Below are 14,729 nucleotides of genomic sequence, written 5' to 3'. Positions count from 1 at the left end.
TGACCCCTTCCAAAGGCCAGTAATTCTTGCTATAAACCTATGCCAGCCAAGAGGACCCCAACACGTACCCAGAGCTATAAAGCCTGCCTTCTAGCCACAGGGCACTGAAGGCAGCTTTCTGAATATGCTGAAGAGGAAGCTGGAGAAAGAAGTTTTTTCAAACAGTTCTTCACCTCCTCCACTGACTGTGCTTTCCTGGCCCACTTGGCATTCCCCTGCCTGCAGAGGGAACAGCTCCTAGTTACGGCACTCAACTGGAAATGATGGTGAGTGCAGCGGACCTGGCTCTTCCACAGAGCCCCCTTTCAGGGGAGAGCATGGATGGCAGAGCAGGGCATGGGCTCACCTGCTGGATTGTTGCCCTCAGGCTGCCAGGCAGCATCCTCCACGTGGGCCCTCTGAGAAGAACACTCTAGGGGTGATGTGCCTTTCTCTTTTTTTACTTTTTTTTTTTTTTTTTTTTGAGATGGAGTCTCGCTGTCTCCCAGGCTGGAGTTCAGCGGCTCGATCTCGGCTCACTGCAGGCTCCGCCCCCGGCGTTCACGCCATTCTCCTGCCTCAGCCTCCCGAGTAGCTGGGACTAGAGGTGCCCGCCACCTCGCCCGGCTAATTTTTTGTATTTTTAGTAGAGACGGGGTTTCACCGTGTTAGCCAGAATTGTCTCGATCTCCTGACTTCGTGATCCGCCCTCCTCGGCCTCCCAAAGTGCTGGGATTACAGGCGTGAGCCACCGCGCCCGGCCGGTGATGTGCCTTTCTATAGGAACTGGCAACCCAGGGACTCTCCCACTATGGCTCCCCCACCAGAGCCCCTGCCTGAAGGATGCCGTTGCCCACCCTGGGGTAGACAGTGACCTAGAGGGAGGCCACACACTGGAGGATCTTCCTTAGCAGAGGTCAGCTATGCCACACACCACTCTGAGACTCAGTTTCTTCATCTTCAAAATGAAATAAAATCATTGGATCCACTTAGCCTTCCTTGGGTCTTGGAGGTGGAGAATCACTTCCCCAAATTCATCTCCAAAAGTGATTAGATGAACTGACCCCAGGCGAGAGGAAGGAGATTTAAACCAATGCCCATAAATGGCCATAATCCTCATGGAAAAAGTGGATCATTTCAATACAAATGGGAAGGGCCATGATGGTGATCAGGCTCAGATGCTATGGAGGCAGACGAAGTCCCACAGTCCCCTGGGGAGGTGGTCCAGGGGCAGAACACCACCCACTCTGCTCTCCACCTCTGTAGGTGCCAGGATGAGCTTGCACTAACTCTGTGGCCAAGAGGGCGAGGCATATAAATGGGGCACAAGAAATGGAAGAGGTGAGAACTGTTGCCACTAGAGATGGCACACCCCCTCCATGACGACATGGGGACTCAGGCCCGGTGTCACCAGAGTGGCTTTCAAGAGAAGCAGGAAGTCTGGGCTTATATGTGAAAGTTCCCAGTTTTTAAAGGTGGGCAACTAGTTCCAGTAAAATAACAAAATCACCCAGCCAACTTTACATGAACCAAACGAAATTCATTCTCTCCATGTGCCTGTGATTGAGGGAAAGTGGGCTTCCTGGGTTCTCAGGGATCCAGGGAGGGAGGGACAATTCCACAGCCTCAATGTCACGAGGAGAGAATGCCTGGGCTGGGGAAGCCAGCGTGTGACGGATGTGGCCTTTGGGGAGTGGAATGCAGGGGAGAATAAGTCAGCAGGTGGGTCAGACAGCTCTGAAGCCTTGCTAGAAAGTTCTAGCCTGAAACAAAAAGCTGCCAGAGGCTCCCTCCTCCTCACACCTCCTCCTTGCCACCAGGGCTGGTCTCTGCAGGCCGGCAGCTACAGCAGGATGACTTGCAGGTTTTGCTGGCAGAGCAAGCTCCCGCCTGGCTGGGGCAGAGAGCAATTCCTCTGGCCACTGCCTGTCATGCCATAGCTGCTGGACCTCTCAAGTGACTGCCTGGGGTCTGGAGTCTGGAGTCTGGAGTCTAACTATGAGTGGGACTGGGGGGTCAGGCCCAATTCAGCTTGACTGGTCCAGCTCTCCCAGTCCTTAGCGTTCATCTTCCCTCCCCTGCCAGATGAATCTCCTTTCCAGGCTCTGCTTCCCCAGCGATTCCCAGACAGAGACAGTCCATCTCAGTCACTGGATATTGGCTAATTGATTGGGTTTTTCTGCTCCTGTTCCAGAGTCAATTGAGAAAGTCCTCAGACACCACTTTGAAGGGGAAAGATGACTCAGGTGGGATAATTTCTAATTGCCCTAAATTCTGCTCTCATGGAATTGGAAGGGACTTTGTAACACACCCCCAGCCCCTGCTTTCACACAGGGACCCCATTAAAGCATCCAGAGAGGCAGGAATCTACCAGGTTTCCCAAACCTTGGAAGAAAGGTCCCCTCCCAGTCACCTCCCCCTAGGGAGAAAAGTAGAGCATCCTAAGGGGAGAGGTCTCCGCCCCTGACCACGACCACAATTGTGAGACCTTCCTCTCTCCCTTCGCTTAACTGACAGAAATGTTTTCCTCTTTTTGAAATGTGGGAACAAGAAAGCCATTTCACTGCTAAAAAACAGACTTGGAAGCCGAGGATCAGGCCACCCTTAAGAAGGCTTTGTTGAGTCTCCAAAATATTCCACAAAGTGTTGATGTAAACAATGCACTACTAATTAAATGTTACAAAAAAAAATTCAAGTACACTGTTCCTTCCTCAAGTCTTTCTGAATCTGCAAACTTTAGACTTTAACCATGAAGTTCATCTTGCAAGTTTTAAACAAATTTTACTTAAGTTTAATCAAATTTTACTTAAGACACTTCAGTAGAACTCTCATTCCCCAAATAAAGAGTTTTAATACAGAAGAGCGGATGGCTTAAAGCACCTGATTTCCCTCTCATATAACCACTTGTGGTAATGAACTTAATAAGATAAAGGCATTGCCATTTTCCATTAAATTATATTGCTCTCAAAAGAAATCAAAATCAAAACTTTAAATATTTTAAAAATCCATTTCAAATCATGGACATTAAGAGATGTAATCTGGAATACTGCCTCCATTGCTTGACACATAAACAGACTTCAGAATATCACATCATTAAACCTAAGTTTTCTTTTAGTAAAATGAAGTTAAATAATAGTCTTTATGAATATCCAGAGACCTGTGCACTTATAATATGCACACCTGTTTGTATATTATACTTTAATATTAATCTATCTCTCTGTCTCTGTCTCTTTCTCTCTCTGTCACTCTCACTCTTTCATAATCCTTGTTCATACTCATCTCCCGGGAATACTGTGAGAATCAGAGGGGCTGATGTACTTGGCAACGATCTGTAGACCACCAAGCACTAGAAGAGGAAGAGGACACCCATCATCACAGAGCAGGTGGCCTCACACACCCACACCTATCAGAACTGGGACTGGCAAGAGGCAGTGGGACGGCATTTAGAGAAGAGGCTGGAAGAAGGCAGATTCCACCCCGCACCAGCTGTGCTGCTTAGGCAATTCTTTGACTCCTCTGTCCCAAGTGTATCTGCCTGTAAAGTGGGCACAATAACCATTGCTTCACAGGATAAACGCCAACAGGGTGGGCTAACTATGCAAATACATGACAGATGCCTCCTACAGCTGCCCACACTTCTTCTCCCCACCTACCTGCTGGCTTTAGTCCTTCCTTGTGCTCTCAGTGGCTGCTGCTGTCTGACCAGCCCCCTGCTGCCCCCCTGCCTGCTCCTGTGTGAGGGCACTTTGGGGCCAGATGCCATGCAAGATGACACGGAGGAGGCAAGGCAAAGCTGGCCCTCAAGGGTCCACCCTGGGGTCCTGATTCCAGGCCTTCTCAGGTTCCACTCTCCCCTCCTCTGTACACAGACCACTCTCCTGCTCTCTTCGTTAAGGTGTTTAACCTTCCAAAGCCTCAATATACTTGTGTGTAATAAAAAGAAAAGAAATAACAGGTTCAAGAAACCAGACAGCAGCGTGAGGATAGAGGTGACAGCCTTCACTGTTGGAAGCATCTTTTCTTGGCTCTGAGCGGTAAAGCAATGCACCCAGGGTCACAAAGACAGAGGTGGCAGCCAGGATTTTAGCCCAAGTGGCCTGACGCCAAAGTCTTGTCTCCCTCTCAATGCAGCTGTGTAGTGGGGCTAGACCCCAGTCTTCTCCATCTTCTCCCCTGATGTCCAATCTAAGCACAAGCAAGGGGCTTGCTGTGGAACCACAGCTTCAGACAAGCCCCAGCCACACCCACCTCCACTGAACGGCCACCTCTTCCTGCCACTTTGATGCAGAGATAGGAGCTGTGCCAACGCAGAGCTGCCCACAGTGGAGAGGGAGTGGAGGGTGGAGCTGATGCTCGTCTCTCAGGACTGCTTTCCCAGTGCCAATATCTAGGTCACCCTCCTGATCCCCAGTGTGATGACTCACCACTCGCCTCTGTCACAGCCTGATAAAGAACTCGAGCCATTAAGAAATGGAACAAATTACTAAATGGGAGGCACAAGAGAAACCCAGGATTAAATTAGTTCATTATTCATAAATCATAAATGACTCTTCCTCTCACTGATGCTTGTCTCTGTCTACCTACTGGCCTTGCAAGAGCAACAGACTTCTATAGGCAGGAGGTCAGAGACACAGGAGGCCCAGGCTGAGGGCCCCAGGGTTGGCAGCCACCTTTAGGCAAAACGGCTGGGCTGGCCTCGGCCCGTTGCCTCTGAGCTGCTCTCTGGACTGCAGGGTCTTGGAACTGAGTCGCCGGGTTTGTAGGGCGAACACTGCAGTGCCTGCTCCATGGCCTGCTGTGCCATGGAAAGGTTCTGATACCTGAGGTGTCTAGTATGGTTGAGACACAGTTGTTGTGTGGGCCGGGTTGCCTCTGTGAAGTATGTCACCTCTGTGCACCGGATCATCTCTGTGGAGTGTGTCCCTGAGGGCCATATCACCTTTGTGAAGCATACCACCTCTGTGGAGCATGTCACCTCTGTGGGCCAGGTCACCTCTGTGGAGTGTGTCACCTCTGTGGCCTGTGTCACCTCTGTGGAGTGTGTCACCTCTGTGGTCTGTGTCACCTCTGTGGCTTGTGTCACCTCTGTGGGCCATGTCACCTTTGTGGGCCAGGTCACCTCTGTGGAGTATGTCACCTCTGTGGAGCATGTGACCCCTGTGGGTCATGTCACCTCTTTGTGGGCCATGTCCCCTTTGTGGGCTGTGTCACCCATTGGGGAGTGTCACCTCCTCAGAGCATATGACATTTCAGGGCATATGTCATTCCTGGAATGTGCCTCCTCTCTGACGGGCGTGTCTCATGACCGAGAGTTCCTTGATGCTTTTCTGTCCTGGCTGGAAAAAGGAGCAGCCTGGGCCCCTCCCGGGGCCTGCCGTGCTTGGAATGGAGCCAGGACGGAGAGGGACCAGCCAACCCAGTGCCAAGGACGCCAGGGCATCTGTTCCCCAGCCCGGAAGGAGATCCCGCCCCGCTCTCAGTCAGGCCCCGCCCTGCAGGTCTGCAAGCCTCCTCCAAGGAAGGCGGAAGGAGCCGGGGCCGTGTCTCAGGGAGCCCGAGAGGCGGAGCCCGGGAGGAGGCCTGAGTGGGCTGGGGAGGGAACGAACCCTACCAGGATACTGGAAAGGGACACGAGAGAGAGGAGCCGCCCCCTGCTGGTCACAGCTGGGAAAGGCGCTGCAATCAAACTCAGTCCCAGGGCACGGTGCCAAGGGAGGCGGAGGAACTGCAGTGGTTCCCGATGGACATCTTGTTGCTCTTAGTGTCACCCCAGCGCATGCATGATTCCTAAGCTATGGGTCAGGGAGTCCCAAACAAACAGCAGTGTTATTCTGGAACTACTTGGATGAGGGTATTTTCCTAACTAGAGCTTACTGGGATTGTGCAAGTGGCAGGGACTACTCTCTAGGTCACCCGACGTAAGGGGCCAGTTGTATTTGAAGGGTGAGCCAAGACTAGAACAGAGGTGAAGGGAGGTGAAAAGGTGACCAAACAGCTGGGTGCTGCAAAGTGCCTGACAGCAGGAGGTGGACACAGGTTCTTATGTAACAGCAGTAAGTGCCATATGCTAACAGCCTGCCATGTGCCAGCTGTACCCAGGGTCTCTGAACCTAGCAGTGTCCCTATGCACATCTCACAGGTGAGGAAAATGAGATCTAGTAAGTGACAAGTGTCTAAGCCAGGATTTTAATCCAGGTCTGAAGAACTTCAGAATCCATGTTTTATTCATGTCACTTCTGAATTTGGGCCCATTAGCAGGGCCAATGTGCTGGCATCTTAGCAGCAGCTAAAGCAGGCATCTGCAGCCCCCTCTTGGTCTTGCCACACAGTCCTGGCTACACTGACATTCTAATTGGGAGGAAGGTCAGATTTCTCCATTCTCCATATCCAAATTCATCTTGTCCACTTTGATTCTTGGATTTGATCACTTCCCACCCCACCTCTTACTTAACTGTTCCCTGGGCAAAATTCCAGCCTTAGCCAGAAGGGCACTGTTCCTACTAAAGTCAGAAGTCAGAACTTCCTCCCTTCAGCCTCTCCAAGCTCCTTCACAGCCGGCTCCTAGACTCAGCCTGCTGCTGACATGCACAGACAGTGCCCTGGCCCGTCACTGAAGCTCCCTGGGATCCCACAACCCATCTGACTCGACACTGATTTTTACAGCTTTGCAAATAGTTGCCTTAGTTCCCTTCCCCTGAATGCATTATAAAGTTAAAGGGAGAAAAAGAAGTCTTTAAAAAATCCCCCAGCTATCTTAATTAACATGCAGAATGCTTTTCTGGCAGTGCACAGGCTGTGATAAAACGGGAAGCTTCTTAACACAACATATATTTAATCTGTGGCATTCGCTTCCACATGAAATTCAATCAGATATTTTAAGGGAGTTAACAAGGGCTCTCAGATCGAACTGTGAATAAATGCAGGTGTGATAAATACACTCAAGCTACTGAGATGTTTTATCAAATGATAAAGGTGTTGAGTGGGGTGGGGTTGAAGGACAAACCTTAATTCTAATTCTGTACGTTGTCAAAGAGGGTAGGAGAATTTATTAGACAATGCCAGGGCGATCTAATGACCCATTGCCTCTGAAAAATCAATTAAACTTGCTCATTTGTTCTGTTTTTCCAGGAATCTTTAATTCAAGTCTGCCGTATGCCAGGCACGAGGGAGGCAGTGACCAACCAATAACGCAGTTCCAGTCTCTGCCCTCAGCCCCAGCTCTGCCTGATGAAACTCACAATCTAATAGGGAAAGGTGGATAATAAACAAGTAAACAAATGCAAATGATAATTTCCAATTGGGTTAAGTAACAGAGTAAATGAGAGGGTGTTCAGGTAAGACATCTGCAAGGAGTTGATACTTGGAGTGAGACCTGAAGGATGAGGAAGGGCCCGCCATGCACCAGGGAAGAGCCTGTTGATGTTTCTGAGACCACAAAGCCCTGGGCATGTTGGGGGACCAGAAAAGAGCTGGGACTTGGTGAGCAGGCAAGCACTATAGAACAGCATTTGGTCGCATAGGTAAGCCTAACCACATATCCTTTCTTTTTTCAAATTAAAGGTTTCATCTGCTACAAATCTGTGGAGAAAGGATGGTTTGGCTGCTGGTGTGAGGAGAATAGTTCACTACAGGGAGAAGAATAAAGCCACATCTTCCATCACATACAAATGCAAACACCTAACAGATCCAAGACCTCGCTATGTGAAAGCCAACAGAAATAAAGAGTTAATAGGAAGGAAGGAGGGGAATATCTTTGTGTTGTTGGGATGAGAAGGGTGTCTTAACATAATTCAAAAACATAACCCTCGGATGAAAACTGGGCAAATCTGACTATATCAAAATTAAGAATTTTTTTAAAAGAATGCTTTAGACAAAGAAAACAGATAGGTGAAGACTTGGAGCAGATTTTGCGTTGTCTAAAGCCAAAAGATAATATCTATAATAAGAGCTGGCAAACTACAGCCCACAGGGCCAAATCCAATTGGTCACCTGTGTTTGTAACTAAAAATAAATAAATAAAGTTTTATTGGAATACATCCATGCCCATTCATTTATACATTTATGTCTATAGCTGCTTTTGTGCTACATCAGCAGAGACAATATGACCTTCATAGCTTAGAATATTTAATATCTAGCCCTTTACAAAAAACAAAACCAACCAAAAAAAAAAAAAAAAAAAAAAAAAACCTGTGTCAACTCCTGATCTAGACTACAAGGGAAATGGGTAGGAAACTCACTAGAAAAATTGGCAAAGGCTATGAATAGCCAATTTGCTGGACAGGAAATGAGCTGGCTAACTAATACCTGATGAAATGACTAATCTTGCCAGAATTTAGAAGAGTGCAAATTGAAGCAATATTGAGATTCTTTTAATGCCTATCAGGTCTTTAAACATTGGAAAAGTAAGTGTGAGGAATACTTAGAGAACTAGTAAAGCATTACTTGTAAAGATGACTTCTGGTTGTGTATGGGAGGGTGCCTATGGAGGAGACTGGTGTGTGAGTCAATGGACTGAGTGAGGAAGATCTGCCCTCATGTGGTCAGCACCATCCAATCTGCTGGGGGCTGGAATAGAACAAAAAAAGAGGGTATAGGATTTCTCCTTTCTCTCCTAGAGCTGGGGATTCTCTGCTCCTTCTGCCCTTAGATATCATAATTCCAGACTCTATGGCCTTGGGACTCCAGGACTTACACTGGTGGTCCCTCAGGTTCTCGGGCCTTTAGCCTTGGGACTCCAGGATTTATACCAGCGGCCCCTCACGTTCTTGGGCCTTTGGCTTTGGACTGAGAATCACACCTTGGTTTTGAGGCCTTTAGACTTGGACTGAGCAACACTACTGGCTTCCCTGGTTCTCCAGCTTACAGATGGTCCAACATGGGACTTCTCAGCCTCCGTGATCACATGAGCCAGTTCTCCTAATAAATCCTCTTTCCTATATCTGTATGTATATCCTATTAGCTCTGTCTCTCTGGAGACCCTAAAACAATAAGTAATACCAAGTGCTGGTGAATATGAGAAAAAATAGGGATCCTGAAGCTATCAGTTAGAGTGGAAATGTGTCTAGCCATTCTGAAGAGCATCTTGGCAGCATTTGGTTGAGCAGCATGAAATTGCCAATATTGACCCTGAGAAGGATTCCCTGGGAAGGCCTCCTGTGCCCTGCTCCCCACCCTAGTCCACTGGACAACAAAGTCAGGCATGGGCATTGTTGACTGTGCACCCTGCATGGTGCTCACCTCCTCCTTCATTTCCAGGAGGATGCTATTGTTCCCTTTCCCTTTCACAAAGATCCCATGTATTGGGAAGGGAAGCAGATCCCACACCAGCTCCAGGGCTGGGCCAGATTGGGTCAGAAATGGGCACGTGGCCAAATTTAGGCCCCAGAGATTGAAGGCAAAATTTGTCAGCAGCTTTTTGGGAAGTTTTCTTTACTCTGCCAGAAGAGCTTCCAGAATCAGTTCTGTCTGTCTTCTCTTGAACATGAGCTGTAAGATGCAATGACTTTGGCACTCTGGGCCGCACATCTGCTTGGACAGAAGACGATGCCAATACCTGGAAGAGAGTAAAGCAAAAAGAACTGTCGAGGGGGGAGGCAGAGCTCAGATACAGACTAGGTTAGCCCTGACTCTTACTCAATCCCTGGGTTACAGCTGAGTGGTTCAGAAATGATTTAAGCTGGCTCATGTTACATTTTCTCACTTGCAGGGAAGGCACTCTGCCTGATAGAAACCCTTTGAGAGCTGTGGGGATTCAAGTGTTGAAGGAATCTGTGCCTCACCTCCAAGAGAAGGTTGGAAGGCAGCAAACTTCTCAGAGAACAACCTCCCTCCCACCCCTGTACCCCTTCCCCCACACACATACATGCTGGCCTGGCTCAGGGTGCATCTATGCAGTGAGGACTCACAGCCTAGAGTTCCCTGCATCCCCTGCCCCATGGGGTGGGACAGTGCCTAAGCTCCCTAAAGTGAAGATTAAGATGGAGATGCTTGTGGAAGTCATTTATCCAGGAGGTGCTTTAGGAGAACTACCCCAAAAGTGAGGGAAGCAAGGAAGGTCAGCACAAGGAGCCAGGCCAGGATGCGGTCCCAGCTGGAATCTGGCTGCAGCCTGATCCCACGTGGAGGTCAGGAGCACGAATTGCACCATTGAATGGCTCCCACCTGAAGGCAAGGGGTCTGGCCTTTTGTAGGTTCTCATCAGTCCATCATTAGCTTTATGCTGCCCTAAGGGAAAGACCTAAATGCCCCCTTCCAGATGCAGCACCACCCATTGGCCAAGGACAATTCTTGAGGCAAGCAGGTGTGACCGCTTAGCTTTCAATATTCAAGCTGCTGGGGCAAAAGTGCACAGGCCAGAAGAAGGGGTTTGGGCCACCAACTGTATCCAGTACAGTCAGTATGGCCAAGTAGCCCTCATTCCCCCTGAGAAGGCACTGAAAGAAGCGACAAGGGGAACTGGTGGCCAAGACAAGAGGAATGCAGCAGTGGATGCAAGGAAGACCAGAGGCTATGGAGGGACAGGATGTCACAGCAGATGTTAGTGTGGCAAAAAGCCAGCATGCATTGTCACACTAAGAGGATGTCATCCCAGTTGATACCAGGGTGGACAGATGACAATCAGGAACCAGATGCCCCCTAACCACCATGCTACATACCCTCTCCCCTGGCATTTTAGCCTAGGGACAGGGGGGAAGAGAAAAAGCCTTGAATTGACTAAAATTCAGTTTTTCACCACCAGGCAGAATGGGACTCCAGGACAGAAACCAAACTCAGCTAAGGGAAAAGTTACATTGGTTTGCGTACTCACTGATTTGCAATCACCACATGTGCTCCTACTAAAACATAAAAGAATGTCATTAACAGGAAAAGACTATTAGCAAGTTCATTAATCATGGTTCTTTTCACACTTTCATGGTCAACTACAATTCTGATGGCTTAAATTGAGGCCTCCCCACTTAATTACAGTGTTTACCAATTAACAGTTCATCCCCTACCATAGGCCTGCCCTGGCTTTCAGAAAAAGATAAAGTGCTCGAGTTTCACAAGTGTTCTTTGCAGGGGTTCCCCCTTACTTGGGCAAAGAGCCATGATTGGTGTTACCAGGACAATCATTTGTTGCTGAGTGAAGAGGTCCATTTTCAATGAAGTTACTAATGACTTGGCCTTATCTATGAACCCCAAGGTGACTGAGAGCATTGGTGACGTATGGGTCCCTCATAGGGCAGCCAGGTGGCCCTAGAATACAACTTCTCTTAACCACAGTTTTCTCATCTGTAAATGGGAATAAATACTAGAAACTTGGTCAAAAATGTAAATGACACATTCCATGTAAAATGCCTGGGAAAAGGCCTGGCACATAGCACTCAAAACTGGGTATTAATATGTTACATCTTAAACTTTTTTAAACTTTTATTGAGCACCCGTACAGAGAAGTGCATATATAATCGCGCACTTGGTAAATTTCCCAAACATGACACACCTATGTAACCAGCACCCAGATGAAAAAAGGGAACATCACCAGGGCCCCAGAAGCTCTTTCTCATGCCTGCTTCTGGTTAGTACTACCCCAGTGGTAATGATTCCACTGATTCCCAAGAGCATAGACTACTTCTGCCTGGTTTTGTATTTATATAAATAGACTGTGCATACTCTTTTGTGTCTGGCTTCTTTCACTCAACATTATGTTTGTGAGATTTATTCATGGTGCATATAGTTGTGCTTCATTCATGTTCATTTTTGTAAATGGTTCCATTGTGCAAATATACCTCAATTTATTTATTCATTCTTCAGTTTTATGGGCTTGGGGGTGGTTTTAACAAGGTGATTATGAACGAAGCTGCTCTGAACATTCTTGCCTAAATCTTTTCTTCTAATTTGAACTTTTTATTTTGAGATAATTATAGATCCACATGCAATTGTAAGATGTAAAACAGAGAGACCTGGTGTACTCTTTACCTGGGTTCACTCAATGTTAAGATCTTGCAAAACTGTAGTAAAATATCACAACCAAGAGACTGGCATTGACACAAACCATGGCCCTTGTTCAGATTTCCCCAGTTGCACATGTCCTGGGCATTCTCTCTCTCTCTCTCTCTCTCTGTCTTTGTGTCTGTGTGTGTTGTTTAATTAATTTATTAATTAATTTATTTATTTTTCTGAAACAGGGTCTTGCTCTGTCACCCAGGCTGGAGTGCAGTGGTGCAATCAAGGCTCACTGCAGCCTCGACCACCTATTCTCAAGTGATCCTCCCACCTCAGCCTCCCTTGTAGCCGAGACCACATCTGGCTAATTTTGGGGTTTTTTTTTTTTTTTTTGGAGAGATGGGGTTTCACCATGTTGCCCAGGCTAGTCTCAAACTCCTGGATTCAAGCAATCCTCCCTGTCTAACCCTCCAAAGTGCTGGGATTACAGGCTTGAGCCACCACGCCTGGCTGAGTTCTATGTTTTTATCACCTATGGAGGTTCATATATCTGCCACTACAGTCGAGATAGTGAATGGTTCCGTCACCAACAGCAGGGAGGAACATACTTGAAAATGGATTGACCAATAACTTGATTCCAATGCTGTGAGAGACCTTGAGCCAGAACCACCCAGGGAAGCCACGCTGGATTCCTGACCCTCAGAAACTGTGTGAGATAATCATTTTTTGTTCTAAGCTGCCAAGTAATGATGTACTTTGTCACACAGAAATAGATAACTAACATAGATACCTATATCAAACACGTGATTAAAATGTAGACCGAGCTCAAATGTAGTCTGAGCTCATCCCAGACCTAGACTCTGCCTTCTATAAACTCTCCCAGGCAGCTCTGATGCACATTCTTTGTTTGAATCACTGCTCTGCCACTAACTTCATGCAATTTACCTCACCTCTCCAACCCTCAATTTCACACCTGAAAAATGGGCATAATCATACCTCATAAGCTATCAGAGCTTTGGTTTTTTGTTTTGTGTTTTATTTTTTGTTTGACTTCTGGGTTCAAGATAATGCACATAAAGCCCGAGCGCTAGCCTTCTTGGTGCCCTGCCCATGTCCCCTCGCCCTCATCATCTCAGAGCCTGCCTGGTGGGGTGGTTGGGGACTGCAGGCACCCACATTGCTTTGCCTGAGACCTTTCTTTGCTGCTAGAGCCCAGTTTGCTGCCTCAGCAGTAAGCCTGAAGTGCTGGGTATTTAACACCCTCCCAGTCCCCCAAAGTAATGACTGACAGAGCTGGGATGTAAACACTTGACTCTAAGTGGCAAGTTCTACACTGGCTCCCAGAATTCTACAGCAGAATTAAGGTTGTCACCTACAGTGGTAACTTGTTTCATAACACACCATTTATTGGCTCACCTCCCTTCTGTAGGTCACTTCCCCACTTCCCTAAGGTGTTACTTTCACTGCCCACATAAACCACTTACACCAATATCTTTGCCTCAAGATTAGCTTCACAAGGACCCAAACTAAGACAAGTACCTAGTGGTGTCAGCACATAGTATGTGCTCGGCTAACAGTTTTGACTGTGTGTGTGTGTGTGTGTGTGTGTGTGTGTGTGTGTGTGTATGGCATGTTTGTTTAGTGAAGGACACAGAAAGAAATTCTTAGCTAATATGAAACAGTGAGGAGGTATCAGCAGCATCAAAAATCCAAGGATGACTATCTAGACTGTCAAGTATGTGTCTACTACAAATCAACAATGACAAAAATTCAACAGGAAATAGAGAGTGGTCATCAGGCAATGCACAGGAGAAGTGACCAAATGGCCAACAAGTATGGGAGGAGAAGCTCCAGATCAGCAGTGATCTGAGGAATTGAAATTCAAATGAGATGTGCTCTTCTATCCACAGGAAGGGCAAAAGTTAGAAATGTGGGTAAGTGAGGACCTATACTGCTAGGAGATATAAGGTGGAACCACCTCTCTGGAGATCTTTCTGACAACATTTAACAAAATTCAGAATCCATTGACTGGCTTCAACACCTAACAAATCCACCCTGAGCACATCAGTCCCATGGAAGTTCTCACAAAGTACCAGGTGGTATATTGCACTGTTTTTCTGTTGGGGAGTTGGAGGCAGTCTGGTATCTTTCAGTAGGGAAATGGATAAGTAAACTGTGACAATGCACTTAGAAGCAAACACAGAATCTATAGAGCAACATGTGGCGTAGGAAAAGTAGGAAACGGAATGAGATTTGTAGCAAAATTCCATTATGTAAATTAAAAACAGACACAAGGCAGATGTATGTATTTTACAAGATTATATACATATGTAAGGACATATTCCAAACACATTTGAAAGGGTGGCGGCGGGGGTGCTTTTAAAAACAGACTTAAATGAGAAAAGTAACATTTTAAAACATTAGATGATAACATAGAAAAGTATCTTTATGACCATGGGGTAAAAATTTCTTAATTAAGACATGCAAAACACAAACCTTAAAAAAAAAAGGATAAATCTGGCAATATTAGAATTTAAAGCCTTTGTGCAATAAACACTATGTAAAAAATGATAAGCCACATACTGGGAGAAGATATTTGAAATGGATGTAACTGAAAACGGATTGGTATAAAGAATACATAGAGAACTCCTCCAAATAATGGCTAATATTTATTGAATACTTACAAAGGGCCTGGCATTGTTGATGGTGTTTCACATGGATGGAATAATACAAAGCAAAGAGGAAATAAAAACTGGCAAAGGATATACACAGGCAATTTGTGAGTTACTTTGTGTCACATTGTGTCTTAACGTAACATACAGAAATGG

At 46.8% G+C, this 14,729-nt stretch overlaps 3 annotated features.

Annotated features, from left to right (window-relative positions):
* Positions 1,393-1,919: an enhancer, noted in NCBI's record as "H3K4me1 hESC enhancer chr3:43814823-43815349 (GRCh37/hg19 assembly coordinates)". NCBI's record gives its function as "activates a minimal SCP1, AML or CMV promoter by ChIP-STARR-seq in naive H9 embryonic stem cells {active_cell/tissue: H9 hESC(naive)}" and the evidence as "EXISTENCE:reporter gene assay evidence [ECO:0000049][PMID:30033119]".
* Positions 4,286-4,785: an enhancer, noted in NCBI's record as "H3K4me1 hESC enhancer chr3:43811957-43812456 (GRCh37/hg19 assembly coordinates)". NCBI's record gives its function as "activates a minimal SCP1, AML or CMV promoter by ChIP-STARR-seq in naive H9 embryonic stem cells {active_cell/tissue: H9 hESC(naive)}" and the evidence as "EXISTENCE:reporter gene assay evidence [ECO:0000049][PMID:30033119]".
* Positions 5,544-5,723: a silencer, noted in NCBI's record as "silent region_14258". NCBI's record gives its function as "represses an Ori minimal core promoter by ATAC-STARR-seq in GM12878 lymphoblastoid cells {active_cell/tissue: GM12878}" and the evidence as "EXISTENCE:reporter gene assay evidence [ECO:0000049][PMID:35858748]".

This window comes from Homo sapiens, chromosome 3 (assembly GCF_000001405.40).
Source record: "Homo sapiens chromosome 3, GRCh38.p14 Primary Assembly".
In the NCBI taxonomy this organism is placed as follows: domain Eukaryota; kingdom Metazoa; phylum Chordata; class Mammalia; order Primates; family Hominidae; genus Homo; species Homo sapiens.
The sequence above is the reverse complement of the archived record's forward strand: the minus strand, read 5'-3'. Positions and strand labels throughout refer to the sequence as shown.